The sequence below is a fragment of the Homo sapiens genome, chromosome 4 (genome assembly GCF_000001405.40).
Source record: "Homo sapiens chromosome 4, GRCh38.p14 Primary Assembly".
Lineage (NCBI taxonomy): Eukaryota > Metazoa > Chordata > Mammalia > Primates > Hominidae > Homo > Homo sapiens.
Genome location: NC_000004.12, coordinates 183,401,461 through 183,425,531, shown reverse-complemented (window position 1 = coordinate 183,425,531; position 24,071 = coordinate 183,401,461). Strand labels below are relative to the sequence as shown.

The 24,071-nt window shown below is 48.9% G+C and overlaps 1 pseudogene, besides 3 other annotated features; it reads left to right on the top strand.

The window, feature by feature from the left end:
- On the top strand, positions 5,727-6,647 carry FBLP1 (FBL pseudogene 1; annotated as a pseudogene).
- Positions 5,854-6,354: an enhancer, noted in NCBI's record as "H3K4me1 hESC enhancer chr4:184340331-184340831 (GRCh37/hg19 assembly coordinates)". NCBI's record gives its function as "activates a minimal SCP1, AML or CMV promoter by ChIP-STARR-seq in naive H9 embryonic stem cells {active_cell/tissue: H9 hESC(naive)}" and the evidence as "EXISTENCE:reporter gene assay evidence [ECO:0000049][PMID:30033119]".
- Positions 16,884-17,722: an enhancer, noted in NCBI's record as "H3K4me1 hESC enhancer chr4:184328963-184329801 (GRCh37/hg19 assembly coordinates)". NCBI's record gives its function as "activates a minimal SCP1, AML or CMV promoter by ChIP-STARR-seq in primed H9 embryonic stem cells {active_cell/tissue: H9 hESC(primed)}" and the evidence as "EXISTENCE:reporter gene assay evidence [ECO:0000049][PMID:30033119]".
- Positions 17,959-18,138: an enhancer, noted in NCBI's record as "active region_22183". NCBI's record gives its function as "activates an Ori minimal core promoter by ATAC-STARR-seq in GM12878 lymphoblastoid cells {active_cell/tissue: GM12878}" and the evidence as "EXISTENCE:reporter gene assay evidence [ECO:0000049][PMID:35858748]".

Sequence of the window (24,071 nt, the reverse complement as noted above, 5' to 3'; positions counted from 1 at the left end):
TATATAGCATTTACATTGCATTAGGTATTATAAATAGTCCGGAGTTGATTTAAACTGTACAAGAGGATGTGTGTAGGTTCTATGGAAATACTATGCCATTTTATATCAGGGAATTTGGTATCTGACGTGGGGCATTGTAGAACCAATCCTCCATGGTTACTGAGGCACAACCGTAGATACAGATAGGTTTATTGAAGTGTTGTCTGAAATAAAAAATAACAATGTGTATATCTGTTGATAAGGCAATGGTTGAGTCCATTGTGGGCCATTTGTTTGTTCATTTGACAGATATTTTTAAGCATCTACCCTGTATCTGTCACTATTCTAGACTCTGGGGTATAGTAGTGGATAAAAGGAGACAAAACTGTCCCTTCATGGAATTCACATTCAAATGGGGAACATCCAAATTATGGGATATGATGAAGTTATTAAAAAGAACAAGCTGTTATGTATGTACTCTTGTTCTGGATACATTACTTATTTATTTATTTTTTATACTTAGAGATGGAGTCTTGCTCTGTCACCCAGGCTGGAGTGCAGTGGTGTGTTCTCGGCTCACCTCTACCTCTGCCTCCCGAGTTCAAGCAGTTCTCCTGTCTCAGCCTCCCGAGTAGCTGGGATTACAAGTGTACACAATCATGCCCAGCTAATTTTTGTATTTTGGTAGAGATGGGGTTTCACTATGTTGGCCAGGCTGGTCTCCAACTCCTGGTCTCAAGCGATCTGCCCGCCCCAGCCTCCCAAAGTGTTGGGATCACAAGTGTGAGCCACTGTGCCCAGCCTGAACACATCATTTAGCTTAAAAGTTAGAGATATGCCACATTAACCTTTTATTTTTATTTTTAAATTTTCTGTACTCTTGCTAATCTGGCATCTTAAGGTGTCGCTGATCCTGGAGAAACCAACCCTCCCAGGGCTGGCTAGTTCCTACAACAGCAAATGACTCCCCTAGGAGTGCACTTTGCATTTTCATGAATCCAGAGCCCATCCCTGCCACCTCCCTCCTTTACTGACCTCTCCCAGATTTGGCCACTGTCTCTCTGCTCTAATCACACCAGGGCCAGGCACAAGCAACTAGGGTAGTGCCTACATCCGTTATTCAGACTAAACACTCCCGTACCTGCCTGTCCTGCTGAGCCTGCCTTGCCCATTTCTTCCCAGGAAAACCACAATAGAGGCTCTTGGCCAGCCTTTCCCCTCACTCCTGCTGCCTCCTGATTGACCCTGGCACCTCCCCAAGTGGCCCTGCCTGGTATAGTGTCTCCCTTCCTCTTGGGAAATGGGAGTAATAAACTATCTCTTTTCTTTGGAGACAGACAGGCTGTCGCGCTGTCACCCATGCTGGAGTGCAGTGGCACAATCATAGCTCACTGCAGCCTCCAACTCCTGGCTCAAGTGATTCCCCTGTCTCAGCCTCCTGAATAGCTGGGACTCAGGTGTGCACCACCATGCTTGGCTAATTATTTTCATTTTTATTATTGTAGATATGAAGTCTCAATATGTTGCCCAGGCTTGTCTCAAACTCCTGGCCTGAAGTGATCCTCCTACCTTGGCCTCCCGAAGTACTGGGATTAGAGGCACATGCTACCGGGCCTGGCCAAAACTGTGTTTTTAATGGCAGTTGTTTCCTGATTAGTTGGCCTCACCCTACCTGAATAATAATGAAACCTACATTTTAAAACATATAGTGTGATCCCATTTTATGTTTTAAAAATCTACAAATGCACGTGTTTACATGTGTTTCAAAAAATAAACTAAAATTCAGGGATAGAGATAAAAAAAAAGTGTTAACAGTAGGCTGGGCACAGTGGTTCACGCCTGTAAACCCAGAACTTTAGAAGGCTGAGGTGGGTGGATTACTTGAGGCCAGGAGTTTGAGACCAGCCTGGGCAACATGGGAAACCCTGTCTCTACTAAAAAAATACAAAAATTAGCCAGGCAGGTGTGGTGGCACGTGCCTGTTATCCCAGCTACTCTTGAGGCTGAGTCAGGAGAATTGCTTGAACCTGGAAGGTGGAGGTTGCAGTCAGCTGAGATTGCGCCACTGCACTCCAGCCTGGGTGACAGAGCAAGACTCTGTCCCCCACCACAAAAAAAAATTGTTAACCATAATTATGCCAAGGAAGTACATTCCAACTATTGGAGGGTGACAGGCAAAGATGACTCATTTTACTTTAGGCATTCCAGCAGTAATTGAATCTTTACAGAAGCATGTGTGACGTTTGTAAGAAAATAAAATATACATATATATGTATATGTTCCATTGCATTTCATTATTTCACTCTCCTCTCACCTCCTGCCCCTGTCATACCTGAGCTGTGTATACCTGGGGCTTCTGGCGCTGTGCCCGGCAGGTCAGCCGTCTGCTCAGCCACATGCCCCCTCTGGAGGGCAGCTTTCCCTGCATCGCTTCAGACCCTTCCCATCTTCTCTAAATGTGTTGAAATACCTAGCCTGCTGAATGCGCCTCTGTATCATTGGTATTGTGGGATTAGTGCTATTTTATTACTTGTAATAACTTTAATGGGATTGCCAGGAGGAAAGGAATACAGAATCTCGGAAGCCTGGTGATCTCTGTCCCTGCACAGGCAGTAAGTCCCTGCACAGGTGTCAGCCATCCAGCACCTTGTCCTGTCTGAGAATGTAACTGGGCCTAGGATGTTTAGCCACAGTCAAATGGTGGGAGGAATAGGCCCAGCCCTTGACAAAGACCCTCACGCTGAGATGGGTCAGGCCCTCGAAAAACGACAAATCTTCACTTGTAGGGACCACAGGGAAATTCAGTCCAGCAAACTAAATATTTGGAACCCACCTGCCTGGAAAACCGCTGGTATCACAGCCAAGCAGTTGGTGGGGAAATGGAGGGGGTTTCCAATACAAATAGGGTCCCATCAGATAGTGGGACAGAGGAGTGGGGCTTGCAGGATGGATAGTTTCAGGGAGGACATTCTGGGGTCAGGCAGCCTGTGAGAGAGAAGGAAGCTCAAGTTCAGGGGCAGGTAACCACTCCTAGGTAGAGGTATCATGCTTTCACCAAATGTTTGTGGAGCACCTTCCCTGAGGCTGCAGGCCCGGCAGGAGCCAGTGCTCATCACGGTGATGACCTGGCTGGAGCCTGGGGCAGTGCCAGAGTGTGCCTCCTGTCACAGACAGGATGCTATCGGCCACAAATCACAACGATGCCACTTCACCAGTCGTGTGACTTTCTGCTACCTAACTTCTCTGAGCCTCATTGTTCCTGTTTCAAAAATGAAAATAATGAACCCCAGCTCGTGGAGCTGCTGGAGTGTTAAGCGAATAATCCCATGTACTGAGCAGGAACTCGATCGTCCAGCCAGCTCACCTGCTTGCGCTGTGGGCCCCTGAGGTGCTGGGAGGTAGACGGGCTTTCCTGTGGAGTAACTGGTTTCCGAGATTGGCTATGAGTCCTTTGGAGACGACTAGCTCAGACTCCTCAGAGCTCAGCTGGGCCTGAGGGCAGTCTCCGGATTTGATTCAGATTATTTCAAGGAAAGGGAAAAAAAGAGACATCTGAAGCCGTTGAAACTTATCATGTCAGCCAGCGCGGTGGCTCACACCTGTAATCCCAGCACTTTGGGAGGCCGAGGCAGGTGGTCACTAGGTCAGGAGTTCGAGACCAGTCTGGCCAACACAGTGAAACCCTGTCTCTATTAAACATACAAAAATTAGCCGGGTGTGGTGGCACGCACCTGTAGTCCCAGCTACTCGGGAGGCTGAGGCAGGAGAATTGCTTGAACATGGGAAGCAGAGGTTGCAGTGAGCCGAGACGGGGCCATTGCACTCCAGCCTGGGTGACAGAGCAAGACCCTGTCTCAAAAAAAAAGAAAAAAAAAAAGAAACTTATCATGTTAACCTGCCACATACATGGAGTGAGAGAGAAACAACAATCTTCCAGGCTCCCAGGCCTTTCCAACGTTGGCAAATTCCAGCACAAATAGGGAAGGAAAATGCTGAGGGCTGTCTCTTGAAAATGAAGGGTGGATAAATAATAGTGCTCCTTTATCTGGACCCTCTGATCTCAGGATTTCGAAGACTGCTAGACAAGTACCTAGCGGCAGATAAAATTTTTCTCTATTTTCTAGATAGGTAGTTGGAGGCTCAGTTGATAGGCGGGAACAGAGCCAAGAATGCAATGTAGGTCAGATGCTTTAGAGCTGAGAAGGGGTGTCATAGATGCGTGAATGCAGTGGTTTTCAAATTTAAGTGTGTGTCCAAATACATGAGACAGTCTTTCAAAATGCATACTCCTGGGCCCTACCCCAGCAGACTCTGATTCAGGAAATCTGGGCAAGGGCCTTGGATTTTAAACCTTAATGTATGCTTTCAGGTGCTGTGTTTATCATACTCTGAGAAACTCTGGTCTAGGGAGAGTCGGGAGGCTGTGCCTTCTGTTCCGGGCTTGGCCCCAGAGGGACGAGGCACATCTCTGGGTATTTTATCCAAGGATGGAAATCTATAACAATTCTACTATCAAATTTTATCTTCTAGAGGGAAAGGCATGACAGAATACACACTCAAGGGGCTTAGGCACACTCAGTGTTTCTTTCTCTTTTTTATTTTATTTGAGACAGGGTCTCACTTTGTTGCCCAGGCTGGAGTGCAGTGGCATAATCATGGCTCACTGCAGCCGTGATCCTCCCACCTCAGCCTCCCAAGTGACTGGGTCTATGGGTGTGCACCACCATGCCCAGCTAATTTTTTTCTTATTTTTTTTTTTTTAGAGATAGAGTCTTGCTATGTTGCCCAGGCTGGTCTCAAACTCCTGGGCCCAAGCTATCCTTGGCCTCCCCACGTATTGGGATTACAGGTGTGAGACACTGCACCCAGCAAGGACTCTCTATGAGGCCACATTCACAGGTCTCAGGTGCACAGATCTTTTTGGGGGACACCAATTAACCCATCACACCTCCCCCAACTCCCTGTCACTCTAATCATTAGTAACTGCAGTGTCACTGAGGGTCAGTCTCCACTATAGCGTAACCTCACAGGCAGGAACCACATACAAACATAGGTTCTGTAGTGCCCACTGCCTGGAACATATTAGATTCTCAATTTTCTTTTCTTTTCCTTTTTTTGAGACAGAGTTTCTCTCTTGTTGCTTAGGCTAGAGTGTACTGGTGCGATCTCCACTCACTGCAACCTCCGCCTCCCGGGTTCAAGCGATTCTCGTGCCTCGACCTCCCGAGTAGCTGGGATTAAAGGCATGAGCCACCACGCCCAGCTAATTTTTCTGTTATTAGTAGAGACAGGGTTTCTCCATTCTCCATGGTAGTCAGGCTGGTCTCGACCTCTCGACCTCAGGTGATCCGCCGGCCTTGGCCTCCCAAAGTGCTGGGATTACAGGCGTGAGCCACTGTGCCCGGCCAACATACTCAATTTCATTCAATACATTTTGTTTCATTGATCTACTTGTTGGATAATCCAACAGCACTACTGTTTTATTAAGTATTTATGTAGTTTAATAAAATGCATTACTAGCATTAGCAATTATTGGATTTAGTTACTCCTCAAATTGCATAACTGCTTTTACTCCTCAAATTGCATAGCTACCGCGGCATTCTTTAAAAGACACACTGTACTGCATGGTGGCATAAATTGCTCCTCAGTACTCTTGTGTTTAAAAATGTCTTCCACTCTTTCCCACGTGCGAAAGCCCCAGACTTGTGGCGTTGTGGATTCTGGAACTGCGCAAGTCAGGGCTCACTATGAAGCCAGGTTTTAGTCCCTGTGGGGTGGCTTCAGCAGCTGAGGGGACATTGGTGACCATGGCGGTTGTGGTGGGGTCGAGGAGGCTTTGGTGAAGGCCGAGGTCCAGGTGGAGGTGAAGGAAGAGAGGGAGGAAGTGAAGGAGGAGGAAGAGGTGGTGGGGGAGGAGGAGATAGGGGAGGAGGAGGAAGAGGTGATGGAGGATTCCTTTCTGGTGGCCACCGGGGTGGTGGTGGGGTAGAGGAGGAGGAAAGCAGTCTGGGAAGAATGTGACAGTGGATCTGTATGGGCTGAGGTGTCTTCATTATGGAGGAAAGGATCATGCACTAGTCACTGAGAATCTGGTCCCTGGAGAATCAGTTTATGGAGAGGAGAGAGTCCCCACTTCGCCGGGAGATGACAGCATGGAGTCCCAAGCGTGGAACCCCTCCCACATCAAGCCAGGGCCCAGGTGCTCTCCCTCGGGGCTGCCTCAGGCACCACCATCTCCCATGTCTCTGACATCGTAGGCCCAGGTGGTCTAGTCTAGGCCATGGAGTCCTCCCACCGCTCTGGCCGTGCCTCGTTAACTTGACCAAGAAGAGGACCAACATCCTTCCTGTGAGGGAGGGTGCTCGGCAGCAGCACAAGTACCATGTGCTCATGGCCGTGGTGATGTGACTTTTGCTGACGTGGCCCTGCCAGGCCAAACCCGGACTGTGGTCCTGAATGCCCACCCCTTCCTGCCGATTGGAGGACACGGATTTCCACTGAGGCCAATTGCAGGGAGTCCACAGCCCAGCAGAGGCCGTGTTTGTGTGCGATGTGAAAAGGATGGAACAAGAGAACACGAAGCCCCGGAGCAGCTGGCCTGAGAGCCACACCAGAGAGACCAGCTTGTGGTCCTGGGAGTGGACAGGCCACCCGCCAAGGTGAGGAGCTGAAGTTCAGCACATTCCGGATTGCGATGAAGTGTGTTGATAGTGTGGCAAGGGGGCTTTCTTTTTCTTTTCTTATTTATTTTGAAGGGTGAGGGTGGGAGGGGCTGGATTGAGGGACTCACAAGGCGGGTTTTCTATTGAAAAACTCATCTGTCACGAAAACATCTTCCAGGCCAGGCATGGTGGCTCATGCCTGGAATCCCGGCACTTTGGGAGGCTGAGGAAGGAGGATCGCTTAAGGCCAGGAGTTCAGGGCCTCAATTGTTTATAAATTACCCAATACAAGCTATTTTGTTACAGCAGCAGGAACAGACCAAGACAGGACCCATTTGCACTATTTTTCGCTCTTGTCCAAGATATGTTTTCTAGTTATTTATTTATTTATTTATTTATTTATTTATTCAGATGCAGTCTGGCTCTGTCACCCAGGCTGGAGTGCAGTGGTGCGATTTCAGCTCACTGCAGCCTCCACCTCCCGAGTTCAATTGATTCTCCTGCCTCAGCCTCCCGAGTAACTGGGATTACAGGCATACACCACCACGCCTGGCTACTTTTTTTGTGTTTTTGGTAGAGACACGGTTTCGCCATGTTGGCCAGGCTGGTCTCGAACTCCTGACCTGAGGTGATCCACCCTCCTCAGCCTCCCAAAGTGCTGGGATTACAGGCATGAGCCACCTCACCTGGCCTAGTATTTTATTTAGAATGTGTGCATCTATCATAAATAATATTGGTTTCGTGTTTGTGTGCCCGCAGCAAGGTATTTGCCAGATGTGTTGGTGCCACAGTTGTTTTGACATCAAGAAATGAACTGAGGCCAGGCGCGTTGGCTCACGCCTGTAATCCCAGCACTTTGGGAGGCCGAGGCGGGCGGATCACGAGGTCAGGGGATCGAGACCACGGTGAAACCCCGTCTCTACTAAAAATACAAAAAAAAATTAGCCAGGCATGGTGGCGGATGCCTGTGGTCCCAGCTACTCAGGAGGCTGAGGCAGGAGAATGGCCTGAACCTGGGAGGCGGAGCTTGCAGTGAGCCGAGATCGCGCCACTGCACTCCAGCCTGGGCGACAGAGTGAGACTCCGTCTCAAAAAAAAAAAAAAAAAAAAATGAACCAGAAAAGCCTTCTTTCTTTTTCTGTGTGCTGGTGTGGTTGTAAAGCATGGACTATTAGTAATAACCACTTGAGCTGGCTTCACTGAGTGTGTGCAGACAGCCCATAAAAAGAACAATTGGAAATACTGCTTAGGGGTGGTATTTTGCACTGGTGGACAGACCATTTTGTTCCCAGATGTTTGCGGAGTGAAACAGATTGTGTCTCTGCCTTCCCATCTGGCGTAGAGGGTCAGCACCGCTGGCCTCATAGCCAGCTTGCCGGGATTTTGCAGGATCCTCCAGCATGCATCCATGCCATCTCCCCTGAGCTGTCTCCTTCAGCAGCACAGCCTGGAAGGAAGAGGAGAATGCAGGGCGGATAGAGATGGGCCTCAATTCAATTCCTCTGAATTGCTTCATTTGCCAGGACTGAAGGAAATGAGCGAGGCCGTGATTCAAAGTCAGCAGCATCTGTGTTTTTGAAGGCCTAGGTTGTATTGTGGAAGTGTAGAGTTTCATTGTTGGCTTTAAAAATAATGTTCACAGAGGCTCTTAAAAAAAAAAGAAGAAGAAGAAGGTTATAAGAGGCAAGGAGATTAGACTCTGAATCTAGTTTTCTTTATCTTTGTCGAAGAGAAGTTTTTATTTGAAAGGTTTTATCACCAGCAGGTTGACAGGCTACTGCAGTCACCAGCTCCATTTAGAACGGGACTGGAAAGTAATAAAAACCTCTTCCTATTTTATAGTTGCACCTGTGCCTGCCAGATGGACTAGACATCGTGAACTGTGGGGTGACTGAAATCAATGGAGAAAGGAATCAGGACTCCAGGTGACTTGTTACAGCCCCTCTCTTTTCAGCTAGAGCCTGACAATCATTCATACTTTAACATATAACATGACAAATGTATATAAGAGAAAGCGAGGAAGTGTCATTTCGTGCAATAAACACTGAACACTGTTCATTTCAATATATGGACATTTTAAACTAAATTACAGAAAGTTTTTTCCCCCTAAATTTCACCTCAGGGATTATGAATTAAATGTCATTCTGACATAGTTTTAAATGACCAGATGAAGATTATCATCAGATTGTCATGTGGCTGGAACAATACTGACATAGAAATAGTTGCTTTTTGACAGGTGGTCCGACAGTTTCCTGATTAGACCTACAAATTAGATGTCAGCAAGCCGCCCATACACGCCCTCCCTGGCCCTCAACGAAGAATGCCCTGCTTCTCTGAGATTCCAACTTCTTGAAGCTTAGAGACTTTAATAGTGAGTAACCAAGGGCCTCTGACAAAGACTCTTCTATTGTCTAACATTATAGCGCCCATGTGATATAGATCCATCTTTAGTTGCAAATGAGACTATAAGGTGAAGTGAATATTCTTAATTTTTTAATACTGTACCAATGAAGGAACAGAGTAACAAAGTCTTGTGAATTAAAAAAAGAAAAAAATCCAGCTAGGTGCAGTGACTCACGCCTCTAATCCCAGCACTTCAGAAGGCCAAGGTGCGCGAATCACCTGAGGTCAGGAGTTCGAGACCAGCCTGGCCAACATGGTGAAACCTCGTCTCTACTAAAAATACAAAAATTAGCAAGGTGTGGTGGTGCACGTACCTGTAATCCCAGCTACTCAGGAGGCTGAGGCAGGAGAATCGCTTGAACCCGGGAGGCAGAGGTTGCAGTGAGCCGAGATCGTGCCATTGCGGTGCAGCCTGGGCAACAAGAACAAAATTCCATCTAAAAATAAATAAATTGTTTAAAAAAAAATCCCTCTCTCAGTCGATCGACAACACATAAGTGAGTAATGCATTGTCTAGGCAAACTGCACCCTGGAAAGGTTCTGTTTTGGCTGAAGGACAGCTAGCAACCAGCCATGAGAAGGCGTGCACACACGGACAGCAGCTGCCTCGCAAAGACTGATGAACAGGGCAATGAAGATTTCCATGGGTTCGCGAATTCCAGAAGTATTCATGGAAAACTCCTCTGTGTCGGGCACTCTTCTAGGTGCTAGGGATACAGCACAGAACAGAACAGACACAAATGCCTGCTCTCCCGGAGGCTTTGTTCACTGAGGGATACAGACAATAAATCAGTAAGAATGTGGGGTGTTAGACAGTGGTCTGTGCTCATCAGGGAAACTAAGGAGGGAAGGGAGGGGGGCTTTAGGGGGTAGAGGTGGCAGTTTTAGCTGAGGTGTCCAGGAAAGGCCTCAAGACAAGGCAACATTTGAATAAAGACCTGCAGGAGATGGTGGGGCAACCATGAGGATATCTCTCAGGGACAAAGACCACCAAGGTTGGGGCATGTCTGGGGTGTTGGAGGAAGTGGGGCAAGAGAACCAAGAGGAGGAGGAAGAAGGGTCAGAGATGCAGCGAGGGTCCAGGTACTGTGGGTCTGCGAGCCTTGTATGGCCTTGGATTCAATTTCAGTAACAGAGGAAGCTCTATTGGAGGGTTTGGAGCTAAGGAATTCCGCGATCTAATCATATTTGAACGGAGTTGCTTGGCTTGAGTTGAGAAGAGACCACAGCAGGCAAAGGTGGAAGCAGGTGACGAGCCAGGAGGATCGTGGGAGCCAGGGAGAGAGTTAGCCGAGGGTGGATTCTGGACACGTTTTGAAGGCGGAACTGACAGAATTTGCTGAAGACTGGAAGTGGGAGTGAGAGAAAAAAGAGAAGTTGAAGATGACTATATAAAATATATCTCTTAAGATATTTTATCATATATATAGATTTTGTCTGAGCAACATGAAGAATAAAGTTATCATTTGCAAAGAAGCCCAGAGGAGCAGGGGTTTTTTGGGAGGGATCGCGGGAGGAGTTGATAGAAATGGCTGTCAGGCCAGGTGTGGTGGCTCACGCCTGTAATCCCAACACTTTGGGAGGCCAAGGCAGGAGGATCACTTGAGGCCAGGAGTTGGAGACTAGACTGGGCAACATACCAAGATGTTTAGCTACAGAAACATTTTTATTAAATTTATACATATATATAATTATATATGTGTGTGTGTGTGTGTGTGTGTGTGTGTGTGTGTATATATATATATATCTTTTTTTGAGACAGAGCTCTGTCACCCAGGTTGGAGTGCAGTGGCACGATCTCAGCTCACTGCAGCCTCTGCCTCCCAGGTTCAAGCGATTCTCCTGCTTCAGCCTCCTGAGTAGCTGGGATTACAGACACGTGCCACCATGCCCAGCTAATTTCTGTATTTTTAGTAGAGACGGGGTTTCACCATGTTGGTCAGGCTGGTTTCGAACTCCTGACCTCAGGTGATCCGCCCGCCTCAGCCTCCCAAAGTACTGGGATTACAGGTGTGAGCCATCGCGCCCAGCCTCAATTTATATATATTTTTAATAGAGACAGGGTTTTGCCATATTGCCCAGGCTGGTCAAAACTCCTGGGCTCAAGTGACCCTCCTGCCTCAACCTCCCAAAGCGCTGGGATTACAGGCATGAGCTGTACCTGGCCTAAATTTTTTAATGTACAAAAATTAAAATAAACTTAGAAATGAATATCAGGAGTTTGGGCACTTTAGGTTTCAGATGAGCGTTAGACAACTGAGTGGAAAGTCGGCAGCCGGGAGTCTGCAGCTGGAGTTCAGGGGGAGGCCTGGGATGGAGGTGTAAATTCCAGTCATCAGCGTGGAGATGGTATTCAAAGCGATCAGACCAATGACATCAATGAGGTAATCAAGGAATCTGTAGCCCTTGCTTGGGGAACGATAAAGGGAGGGGCAGAAGAGTGAAGGAGACCAAGAAAGGGGCTGCCGGGAGAGTCAGGCGGCGGCAGGCGAGTGTGGTGTCCTGGGGCCGAGCTTCTTCCAGGAGGAGAGGGAGACAGCAGGTCGGATGCCTGCGCAAAGTCAGGGAGAACCAGGCCTGGAAATTGGCCATCAGACTCAACAACACGGAGGACCTTGCTGACCCCAAGTAGACCAGATGAACGGATGCATAAACCCAAATAGAGGGCAGAGGAAAGGCTCCTGTGCCCCGGGCTGTTGTCCTGGATGTGTCCGTCACAGCCCCTGCCGCGCTCAGCCTGCTCCTGAAACACAGCTGCACCTGCGCAGAACCAGGCTGCTGCTGGCACCTGGTGTCTTATTCTGGGCCACGTGGTAGGCTTGTCATCGGCCCTGCAGGGGCCTGACCTGGAGAGCTCTGCCTTGTCCACCAGGTCACCTCTCTGAAATACGCAGAGGCAGGCTGGCAGCGGTGGAACCTGACTTTGCTGAGAGGCTGCGCAGGAAAGGCGATGAGGCAGGAGGGCTACGAGGGATCACTGCAGGATGAGGCTTCCCTTGGGCAGGAGACATAGACAATGACAAGCAGATGACAGTACAGCGGCTGCCTGGGGGCAGGAGAACTGAGAAGCATCACAAGAAAAAGAGATAGAGACAGTGGCGGAGTCAGGTGAATGGTGGGGCACTAGAGTCATTAGTTTCCAGAACCACCCACCAGCCCCAGACCCTCCAGGCTCCTCCAGATCCTTGCTCACCCATCACGGTGTGTCTGCACATGAAAGCCCCAGTACTTGAGCTAAACTCGAGGGCAAGAAAAACACCCCAACGCCACAGCGGCCACTATTTTACTAATGCAGAGCATGAGCTGGGCACGATGCGGTCACAGGGTCTTGAATTAAAGCAAAAGGACATAAACAAAACAGTGAATATCACAGGAAGACCTAGGATCACGGAGAAGGTGTCAGGATTGATTTACAGTGTGATAACTAAACGCGGGTCTTCCTGGTTGTCTAACAGGAAAGGCGTCAGTGTCTTACTGACTTCTTCCTTCCTGGCTTGACTGATCATGGGATGAAGTGAGGAGAATGACGGGAAGGCCAGCTGTTCATAGTGACGCTATGGAATGATGTTTTGCTCTTTTAGAGAGACCAGGTAGATGTCACCCTCAAACTGTGAGCACCGAGTGAGCCGGGGCCTTGGATTCCTGAGGTTTAGTGACCAGGTAGCAGGCAATTTTTTTTTTTTTTTGAGGTGGCTTTTCGCTCTTGTCGCCCAGGCTGGTATACAATGCCGCGATCTCGGCTCACCACAACCTCTGCCTCCCGGGTTCAAGGGATTCTCCTGCCTCCGCCTCCCAAGTAGCCGGCACCTGCCACCACGCCCAACTAATTTTGTGTTTTTAGTAAAGACAGGATTTCTCCATGTTGGCCAGGCTGGTCTTGAACTCCCGACCTCAGGTGATCCGCCCACCTTGGCCTCCCAAAGTGCTGGGATTACAAGCATGAGCCACCGTGCCCGGCCTACAGGCATTTTTTAAAGATATTCTGGTGTCACTAGATCTTTGACTGGGGTTGTTATTTTTGTTGAGGTCAGTGGTAAAATGTGTTTTTTTACACACTTCCTGTACAAAATTCAGAATTTGTTATCGTTCTGAGCACTGGGGTCAGCTATCAGGAAGATTCTACAAGGGATCAGGAAACTTCCCAAACGAAAGCATCTTAGTTTTCTAGGATCTCTGTTTTAGGGCACTAAAGGAAGAAGTTTCTAGATCCATTCCTGAACCATGGACATTAAAAAAATATTAACTGTAGCCCCTAGATTTTTGTTTTGTGCTATGTGTGCTGAGTTCAATACTCACTATAATGATGTTTATCTTTATTTTATTTTAATTTTTTTTGAGAGAGTCTCGCTGTGTTGCCCAGGCTGGAGTACAGTGGCACAATCTCGGCTCACTGCAACCTCTACCTCCCAGGTTCAAGTGGTTCTCCTGCCTCAGCCTCCCAGGTAGCTGGGATTACAGGCACGTGCCACCACACCCGTATTTTTAGTAGAGACTGGGTTTTACCATCTTAGCCAGGCTGGTCTTGAACTCCTGGCCTCAGGTGATCCACCCGCTTCGGCCTCCCAAAGTGCTCGGATTACAGGGGTGAGCCACTGCACATGGCCTTACAATGATGTTTATTGAACACCTGCTTTGTACCAGGTTGTATAACAATAATGGGAATGCCACATGAGTCAACGATAATGCTATTCCAGTCATGGAGTGTGGCCTAGAAACTCAGTGCCTCACAGTACAATTCGAGGCACTCACATGCTCCGCAATAAAACCACCCAGGAATTATTCTGGCTTACAGCCTATTAACTTTTACCATTGCCTTAATACAAAGAGAATTTTATTACCAATTTACCCAGAGGGTTAAATTAATATTTACAAGAGTCACGGAGGCTGGGAAGTATTGTGAAATTTCTAGATGTGCCTTGTCAATGCTGGATTTTTCTTTGTCATCTTGCGGTCTCTCAGTGGTGTTAAATTAACCTAAACTTGGCCCGAGGATGCCTCCGCACTCGAGCCCTGACATAACAAACTGCCGCCTGGCTTAGTTCAGAAACTAACTGAAAACCTAACGTAGGAGCATACTTCTGTAACTAACAGCTGAGCCTCCACTCATTACAGCAGCTGAGCTTCAGTCAACCATGGGTGGTCAACTGAGTCAACTTAGGCAAATGCCCAGCTGCAACCATTCAGCGCTAGGCTGCCCTTCCATTTTCTATCCTCTGCTACTGCCTGACCACCGTGCTGTCTGGCCACAGTGCTTTGAACCTATTCCAGTACAGGGGCTGCCTGATTCTGGAATCACAAATAAATAATCAATTAAGGTTTTCTTTTTTTTTTTTTTTTTTTTGGAGACAGAGTCTCGTTCTGTTGCCCAGGGTGGAGTGCAGTGACACGATCTCGGCTCACTGCAACCTCTGCTTCCCAGGTTCAAGCGATTCTCCTGCCTCAGCCTCTTGAGTAGCTGGGATTACACATGCACGCCACCACACCCGGCTATTTTTTTGTATTTTTAATAGACATGGTTTCAACATGTTGGCTAAGCTGGTCACGAACTCCTGACCTCAAGTGATCTGCCTGCCTCGGCCTCCCAAAGTGCTGGGATTACAGGCATGGGCCACCATGCCCGACCACAATTAAGATCTTTAAACTAAATTTGTTGTCATTTTTTGACCATTGGGACAAAAAATACTTATTACATTTCCCTTATTGAAATAGAATCAATGGGAACCCCTCCTGGGGCCACCGTCTCCCCAAAGCCTCTGCAGGCAGCTGGTCTGCTTAGCTGGGTGTCTTCCTCTTGGGCTGGGAAAGCTCTTCAGAGGTGACTGAGTGGGGCCAGTTCTGTTTTGCCCACACTCTGTGGCCAAGCTGGGAATCAGTCCCTTTAGGAGAGGCAGAGAATGGGGTGGAGACCCGGGCTTCGGAGCCCCTCTGGCACTGCAGAGATAGGGTCCAGGGATGAAGGCGCAGGGTCTTGTTCTGTGTCTTCTCAGCTGTGTGAACTTGGGCATAAGCTGAACATGTTACTGAGCCTCAGTTTCCTCATCTGTAAAAATGAAAAGGCCAAGTCAGAGGGTTGTACAAGCACTGATGAGACGATGCAGCTCATGCCACACGTTCATGAAACGCCAGCTTTTTCTCTGCGAGGCTCAGCCCTCTCTCCCCTGTGGCAGTGATCAGTGAGGAGGGGCCAGGGCTGCCCCAAGCAGGAGGTCCAGGAAGCCAGTGGGGTGGTATGGAAGAGAAGGAAGGTGGGATAGAGACAGGTCGAGAGGCCCCAAGGGATGGTTCCACAGCCCCCACTCTCGGCAAGTGGCAGGAGGCTGGGAGTAGATGACAGAGATGGTTGGCCCGGTCACTCCCCATGGAAGAATGCAAGCTTGAGGCCAGAAAGAGGCATGGGCTCTGAGTTTCTGTCGCGCCTGGGTATCAGGCTAGCACGAAGCTATTTTGTGACGTAGGGAATTTCAGGCATTGGCATTTCCCTGCTCACGTTATTATCTGAAATATAATTACCTCGTCTGACAAGTGTTTTTCAGAATGTGTCCACTGAATATCCTGTGACCTCTTTTGATCCCAGGGAGGTAGGCAGGGAAGGTGGGATCCCCTGCCTCCACCCCATCTCCCATCAGAGGAGAAAAACCCAAGATAGTGAACGTCAAGGTCCCAGTGCAGAGGCCGAGCACAGAGCCACCGAGGGCTGAAGGACAGCCCAGACCTCCTGACCCGATGCAATTCTCTCCCCTGGAGTACAGTTCTCTCTCCTGTGGTTGAAAGATCAAATCTGCAGTGAGGGCTCACCAAGGGCAGGTCACTTACACAGCACAGTTTGTTTGAACTGATTTATCTCTGTAGATATTGAAAACACACACACACACACACACACACACACACACAGCAGAAACTCACATAGCAAAGGCTTAGGCAGGTCCCCTGAGTGAGCTCTGAGCAAGCTGCTCTCTGCTATCCAGAGCCTACATCCAGACCAGTAGGGCACCAATGGGCAGGTAGGTCCATACAACAAAAGGAACAGCTGAGTAGGCCGCAGCACAGCAATAATACAGCACTAATGACAATAGTTTATGTGTCCCCAATCCAGCCTCTTACATCGATGACAATTCCCAGTTACTGAGGATTTGCCTTGTACATGTGCTATGGTTTTACAGGGTGATTCACTGAGGAATTAATCTGTGTTTTCCACGTTGTCGTTCTTGCTGTTGTCTTTGTTTCTCCTTTGCCATCCCAAGTACTGGGCTCTCCAGCCTCATGTTGGGGATTGTGTGAAATCTCTCCTTCAGGGCACAAGACAGAGCCCTTGGAGGGCAAGAGGTGGAGGGTGCAGAGTGCCAGAGTCTTGGAGACAGCTCCTAAGGCTGGCAGCGGAATAGATGTGTGCGTGCGTGTGTGTCCGTGTGTGTGCGTGTGTGTGTGTGTATTCTGCTAGTAATAAAGACAAGCCCTGCCCCACCAGCCCACACTCAGCCCCCTCAGGAAGGAGGAAGTAACCCAGAGGGCTTGGTTGGGAGGGGGCCCTGGGAGGCCTGGCCCTGCCCTCCATGGCTGTCAGTCTTAGGGACTGGGCTGGGCCGGGGTTTGGCATTACCCTGATGGACTAGAGCTAAAGGCCCAGCACTGGCTTTCTGGACACGACAGGGTTACCAACGACTCTCATGTGATCCTAGAGACAAGAAGGACACCTCAAATTCAACGGATTGAATTTCTCACCATACAGGCAAGCTGATTTAATATGATTTGGGAACATTCTGAATGTGGCACTTTTTTTAATACTCAAGTCTATGAGTAAAATTGATCACCGTTAAATGTATATCACCTCAATAAAAACTCACAACAGTCTTATGAAGTGGGTGTCATTGACATCCCCATTTAGCAGAGGAGGTTGAGCCTCAGAGGGTTAAGTAACTTGATCGCTCACAGCAGAACTTTCAACGCAACCCCCCTGCTTGGGAAGGCCACCTTCCCTGCATCATCGTCTTTGGCTAATAATTGGTTCGGAGTTTTCATTCTTGAATTTGGTGAAACCTTTATTCTGACATGGTTTCTCCTGAATTCCTTTAGGAGAAATTGAATTCATGGTCTAGCACCCACTGTATCGCCTCACTTGGTCACAGCACCTGGATGCATGGCTGTCTGGGGGAGTGGGGGACGGTGGGCACCGAGGCCTGAAGAAGACCAGGGCCCATGGTGCCTACTGGCTCCCCGCCCCAAACACCCTCCTCACCTGGGCCCCCTTTGGTCCCGTGCTGAGCTTCCTGGCATCTCCCCCCCAGAGGCAGAAGCTGTTTCCCTCCCTGACAGGAGGGCACAGAAGGGCACTAAAGGTGTCACTCATCACGTACCCCCAAGTCTCTTCCTCTCAGCTGTGCAGGGAAGGGCAGATCACGCTCAGTGTTATTTAAAAACTCAAAAAAAAAAAGAAAAGAAAAGAAAGGGAGAGAAAAAAATGAAAGAAAGAAAGAAAAAGAAAGGAAGGAAAGGGAAGGAAGGAAAAAGGCAGGAAGGAAAGAAAGAGAAAGAGAGAGAGGAAGGAAGGGAAAGAAGGAAGAAGAGAAAGAAGAAAAGAAAGAAAAAAAGGAGAGGAAGAAAGAAGAAAGAGAAAGAAAGAGGAAAGGAAGGAAGGAAAGAATGAAAGAAAAGAAAGAAAGGAAGGAAGGAAAGGAAAGAAGGAAGAGGAGAAAGAAGAAAGAAAGAAGGAAGAAAGAAAAAAGAGAGAAAGCAAGAAAGAGAAGGAAGAAAGAAAAAGAGAAAGCAAGAAGAAAGAAAAAGAGAAAGCAAGAGGAAAAGAAAGGAAGAACGAAAAGAAAGAAAGGAAAGAGAAAAAGAAAAGAAAAGAAAGAGAAAGAGATCCATAAGAGAGTTCTTTGTAACAGTTTGGTAACCTGAACAGAAAAACCTTTGATGAATTCCCTGAGAGAGCTTCAATCTTTCTCCTGTCTCTCTTGGAGGGATGGCAGCAGGTCAGCCCTGAAACAAGATGATCCGCATCAATAAAGCCCTGGTCCTGGAGGAAGGAAGTGGGCTCTGGTTTCCCCGGTGGCTATAAAAAATCGGGGCTTTGTTTCTCAGGACTGCTCTTCCAGTAGCTGTAAAGCACGGTGCTTTGCTTTGGCAGGACAAGCGCCTTCTGAAGACAAAGGGTTGTTTTACAGGCGCCGCGCTGCGCCCCGCCACCCCGAGCCCCTCCGAGCTCGCCCGCGATTCCGCCCCGAGGCCACTGGGTGGCGCCCGAGGAGCCGAGATTGCGGTTGAGGACGTCGCTTGCCGCTTCTGTGGGGCCCGACTGGGCACAGCGGTCACAGAGGTGACGCGGAAGGAGACTGCGCGGAAGGGGCGCGGGCCAGCCCCTCCACAACCACTTGCAGCGTGGATAGGCCAGGTTTGCTCTCTTTTACATAAAGAAAGAATAGAGCACATCTTTTTTTTTTTCTTTTTTATTTATTATTATTATACTTTAAGTTCTACGGTACATGTGCACAACGTGCAGGTTTGTTACATATGTATACATGTGGCATGTTGGTGTGCTGCACCCATTAACTCCTCATTTACATTAGGTATATCTCCTAATGCTGTCCCTCCCCCTCCCCCCTCCCCCCACCCCTCGCCAGTCCCCGGTGTGTGATGTCCCCCTTCCTGTGTCCAAGTGTTCTCATTGTTCAATTCCCACCTATAAGTGAGAACATGCGGTGTTTGGTTTTCTGTCCTTGCGAGTCTCGCTCTGTCGCCCAGGCTGGACTGCAGTGGTGCGATCTCGTCTCACTGCAAGCTCCGCCTCCCGGGTTCACGCCATTCTCCTGCCTCAGCCTCCCGAGTAGCTGGGACTACAGGCGCCCGCAACCACGCCCGGCTAATTTTTTTGTGTTTTTTTAGTAGAGACGGGGTTTCACCGCGTTAGCCAGGATGGTCTCGATCTCCTGACCTCGTGATCCACCCGCCTCGGCCTCACAAAGTGCTGGGATTACAGGCGTGAGCCACCGCGCCCGGCCTCCTTTTTATTTTTTTAACTGCCCCTTGAGGAGCAGGGCTACCCCATAGGCAGTGTGCCCTGGGTAGCCAAAAGCTACCCTTTATTTTTATTTTATTTATTTATTTATTTATTTTTTTGAGATGGAGTCTCACTCTGTCGCCCAGGCTGGACTGCAGTGGTGCGATCTCGGCTCACTGCAAGCTGCCCCTCCTGGGTTCACGCCATTCTCCTGCCTCAGCCTCCCGAGTAGCTGGAACTACAGGCGCCCGCCACCACACCTGGCTAATTTTTTATATTTTTTAGTAGAGACGGGGTTTCACCGTGTTAGCCAGGATGGTCTCAATCTCCTGACCTCGTGATCTGCCCACCTCGGCCTCCCAGAGTGCTGGGATTACAGGCGTGAGCCACCGCGCCCGGCCTTTATTTTATTTTTTGAGACAGAGTCTCGCTCTGTTGCCCAGGATGAAGTGCAGTAGTGCGATCTTGGCTCACTGCAACCTCCACCTCCTGGATACAAGTGATCCTCCCACCTCTTCCTCCCAAAGTTCTGGGATTACAGGTATGAGCCATCGTGCCTGGCCTACATAAAATTATTTTAAAATATTTTATAAAATTACCCTCAGATGATGTGTATAAGGTGTATATGAAACATAAATGAATTAGACTTTGATCCCATCCCCAAGATATCTCATTATGTATATGCAAATATTTAAAAATCCAAAAAACATCCAAAATTCAAAACACTTCTCGCCCAAGGCATTCTAGATAAGGGGTAATCAACCTGTTTTTGGAAAATGCTATTTTTATTGGTCTGTAGAAGACCATCTGAGTTAAGAGTTAGAGCTCAGCTGCAGGCACATGTTGCTTCCAGGCCCGTGGCCTGGCGAAGGCTTGCTGCCCCACAGCCCCTCCTGCACGCGGGCACGGAAGGCGCTAACACAGTCCTTTGATTAGGCACTTCCTTCCTTGCTTGGCTCCCTGCACCCCGTGGGTCCCTTCAGCCCCCAGCATGTCCACGGTTGCTCAGGGACAGCTCCTGCATTCTGGACCAGGAGACGGTCCAGGGACCAGGCCTTAGGGTCAGCCCCTCCTCTCAGCTGTTCTCTTGAATAAACTTGCTTAGCAACTTCATTCTTTTTTTTTTTTTTTTTTTTTGAGACAAAGTCTCGCCCTTTGCCCAGGCTGGAGTGCAATGGCACAATCTCGGCTCACTGCAACCTCCGCCTCCCCGGTTCAAGCGATTCTCCTGCCTCAGTCTCCCAAGTAGCTGGGATTACAGGCGCCCGCCACCACGCCCAGCTAATTTTTTCTATTTTTAGTAGAGACGGGGTTTCACTATGTTGGCCAGGCTGGTCTCAAACTCCTGACCTTGTGATCCGCCCGCCTCAGCCTCCCAAAGTGCTGGGATTACAGGCGTGAGCCACCGCACCTGGCCAGCAACTTCATTCTTAAAAACCAAACTATCCTAGAAACTAGAGATCTTCCCTAGCCCTCCACCTCCCCCTTGTCTGCTTCATACCTTTTCCCTTCCCTTCTCCACAAGCTTTAGGATGGGCTTGCCTGCGAGCACCCACCGGCTCTACCTCCTCCCTCCTACTCACTCTAAGCCACCCCAAGTTAGTTTCTGTCCCTTCTGCTCTTGGAACTCATGTCCATTCTCCCATATCTAGATGCTTTAGTCTCTTTTCTCTCATGGCCTCTCTATTCTACGTGATATTAATGGTCCTGATCTCCTTGAACTCCTTCCTGCCTGGGCTCCTGCAGCAATCACATCCCTTGGATTTCCTCCTAGACCCCAAACTCCCCTTGTTCCCATTGTGAATCCATTTTCCACAAAGCAACATGCTAGGTGTGGAAGGGAGCCCGCAAAAGGCCCCACGGCAGCGGGGGTAATGGGCTTGGACTTGGGAGAAAAGGTGACTGGGGCTCCTACTCCCCATTTATATTTACTAAGTTACAGCAACCGTGGTCAAGTCTCCCAAATACTGAGCAGGTTCCCAAGATCCAAGGATACGGGTGAGGAGTAGTGGGAGAGGGGGCTGGAAAGCATGAAAGGTGTGTAAAAGGTGTTCAGCGCTGGGCTTGCCGTTTGGATGCCATCTCACAGGCTTGTATCGTCTTGCCTGTGCGAGGCTGGCCAGTGGCCCCTTCCTGAGGCGTGCTGAGTGGTCAGCATCCCTCTGAGCTGCCTCAGGGAATGCTGGAACCCTGGTGTTACGGTTATCTGTTGCGGAGTAGCAAGCCATCCCAAAGCTTCACTGAAATAGCAGATCATCAGATCTGCAGCTGGGACACAGAGGGAAAGCTCATATGAGCTCCACATGGCATTGACTGGGCCCCAGGGCAGCTGCACTGGGGGCTGGAGGATCCATTTACAGGATGGGTCTTGCACATGGCTGGAAAATCAGAGTTGGCTGTTGGCTGGGAGCTCAAGCTAGGCTGAGGGCCAAGGGCCTTGGTCCCTGTCCCCGAGGGCTTTTCTATGATCTGGTTGGCTTTTCTCAGTCTAAGCCTTCTCAGGCTGGGGCTGGGTGGGAACACACACTAGAGTTGAGCCCAGAAGGTTCTGAGCATGGCTTATACCTTCTTTTCTTTCTCCATCCCAGCTTTAAGATGACTTCCCTTTGGACGTGGCCAAGCTTGCAGAGGAAAGAGAGGCTGTTAGAAATTTGATTCATTGCCTCTGCCAGGAGGGTGGACAGGAGGGTAGAAAGACGAAATGCCTGAACTTCAAGGAGTTTTTCAGCAGTCTGACACTTGCATTTGGGGGCAAGAGAATTCTCTGAGTGAAGGGAAGAGCGATGAGGGGCAGACTGAGCTCCTGAGTCAGCGTGTCTGAGCGCCCGCCCAGCTGCCTGCTTCCCAAGCACAGTTTCGACATCCTGCTGCCTCTGTCGTCCTCATGGGTACATTCTTAGTACTGGGCTGATTTTAAGCTTCTCTTTCTAGTTATTTTATTGTGTTTCAAAAGTAATGGAAATTCAGCCGGGTGCAGTGGCTCATGCCTGTAATTCCTGTACCTTGGGAGGCCGAGGTGGGTGGATCACCTGAGGTCAGGTTCCTCAGGTGAGGAACACCTGAGGTCAGGAGTTCAAGACCAACCTGGCCAACTTAATGAAACCCTGTCTCTTCTAAAAATACAAAAAATTAGCTGGGTGTGATGGCGCGTGCTTGTAGTCCCAGCTACTCGGGAGGCTGAGGCAGGAGAGTCGCTTGAACCTGGGAGGCAGAGGTTGCAGTGAGCTGAGATCACGCCATTGCACTCCAGCCTGGGTGACAGAGCGAGACTCCATCTTGGAAAAAAAAAAAAAAGTAATGGAAATTCATAGTCATGAGGCCCAGCCAGCCCAGGCATTTTCCTCTGAGGGGGAGACAAGGAAGTGAGATGTCACGCCAACTAAGGTGGCCATCTGTGCAGCAAGTCTTCAACTGAAGACACTAATTTACCTTCCAAACGCTGCCAAGCAGCTCTCAGGGTAATGACACCATCTCACTGCAGACCCAGACCAATTCTGAGCCCTTGACCTTGAGTGACACTACCTCCCACGGCTCTTCCATAAAGGGGAGAAAGATGGTGAGTCAGTAGAGTGACTCCTTCCAATTAGGAAGGTGACAAAGGACATAAATACACTAAGCACTGAGGCTGGCAGGGTGAGTGGCTTAGTGCCAACAACCACAGTGGCCTTTTACACCAATTAGGTATATTTCCTGATAGAATCTTCCTTTTGCGAGCATTGAATTAATTTCCTTTTCACACACAGTCCCTCCTGTCCCCATCAGACCAGGGGCTCCACGTGGCCTTCACCCAGGGAGAATTTATCAAGCCCAGTGAATAAGGTGAACATTTGTTTTAAAAGAGTTTCCACCCAGAGGAACACGTGACTCTGGGGATGTCACTAGAAGTCAGCTTGGGGCCCAGGAATTATTCCTTTGGAGATCCCATCTATCTCCATCAAAACCTTGCCAGATGACCTTGTGAAAAGTCTACCAAAGACTGTGATTCAGCTTCCCGGAGAAATCTCAGCCGGGAGGATTTGGGAAATTTTGTGGGCTTTTCAGCTGGACCTTGATGGATGGATAAAACCTACATAAAACCAAGAGGCAGGCACTGGGCAGAGAGGGAGGGTGGTCCCTGCGGGAAGAAGAGCAGGACATGGGGAAGGACACCCTGGCAATGAAGCTGCCCGTGGCAAGGGAAGGATGCCCACACAATTTGGGGTCTGACATCCCTAGGTTCAACTTTCTGCCCCATTTTTAAGACCTTTGGCAAGACCATCTTTGAAGTCAGTGTCAGTATCTAAGGAGGGAAGATTAAAATAACTGCCTCAACAGAGTTGCTGTGTGAGTTAAATGAGAGAACGTATGTATGCAGCTGTCTGAGGAGTGGGAGGGGTTCTGATAAGATATGCCATCAGTAGTAAACACAGTGTATTTTTGCATTTGGAGGCCAGGAGACTAGTCTGATGGGGGCACAGGGCTTGTGTTGGGAAGGAGAGGGAGGTGAGTTTACAGGGTGGTGGCGTGTAACTGTGGAATCACTCTGAATATTGGCACTGGAAGATTTTGGACACACCACTTTCCAGGTGCATAACCTGAACCCCAGATTATGTTGGAGTTCTTATCACATGACCGCTGTATTCATAATATCATCTGAATATCTGCCCTTTTCAAGAATACAAGAGCATTGAGGGCCAGAGACTGTAACTTACACATCTTTGCAAACTCCTATAAAACCCAGCACATCATACTGCTGCTCAGTCACTACTTTTTGAATGGGGGGAGCATGAGCTCATTAAAGAAATGTGGTAACTATACCAATGGCTTAGTACTCTGCAGCTCACCAGTTAATCAGATCAAAACTGGTGATCAAAACGAATCAGATGGCTGAGGTATGAACGTAGGTGAGTCAGGCGGCTGGATGAGATGGCTCCATAAAGAGCTCTGGAATTCGTTCTGTCCTGGGCACAGCCCTTATGAAAGAAACCAAAAGAAAAAGGGACTGGAAAAATATAGATAATATCCAATGCCAGCAAAGGTGTCGTTAAACAGGC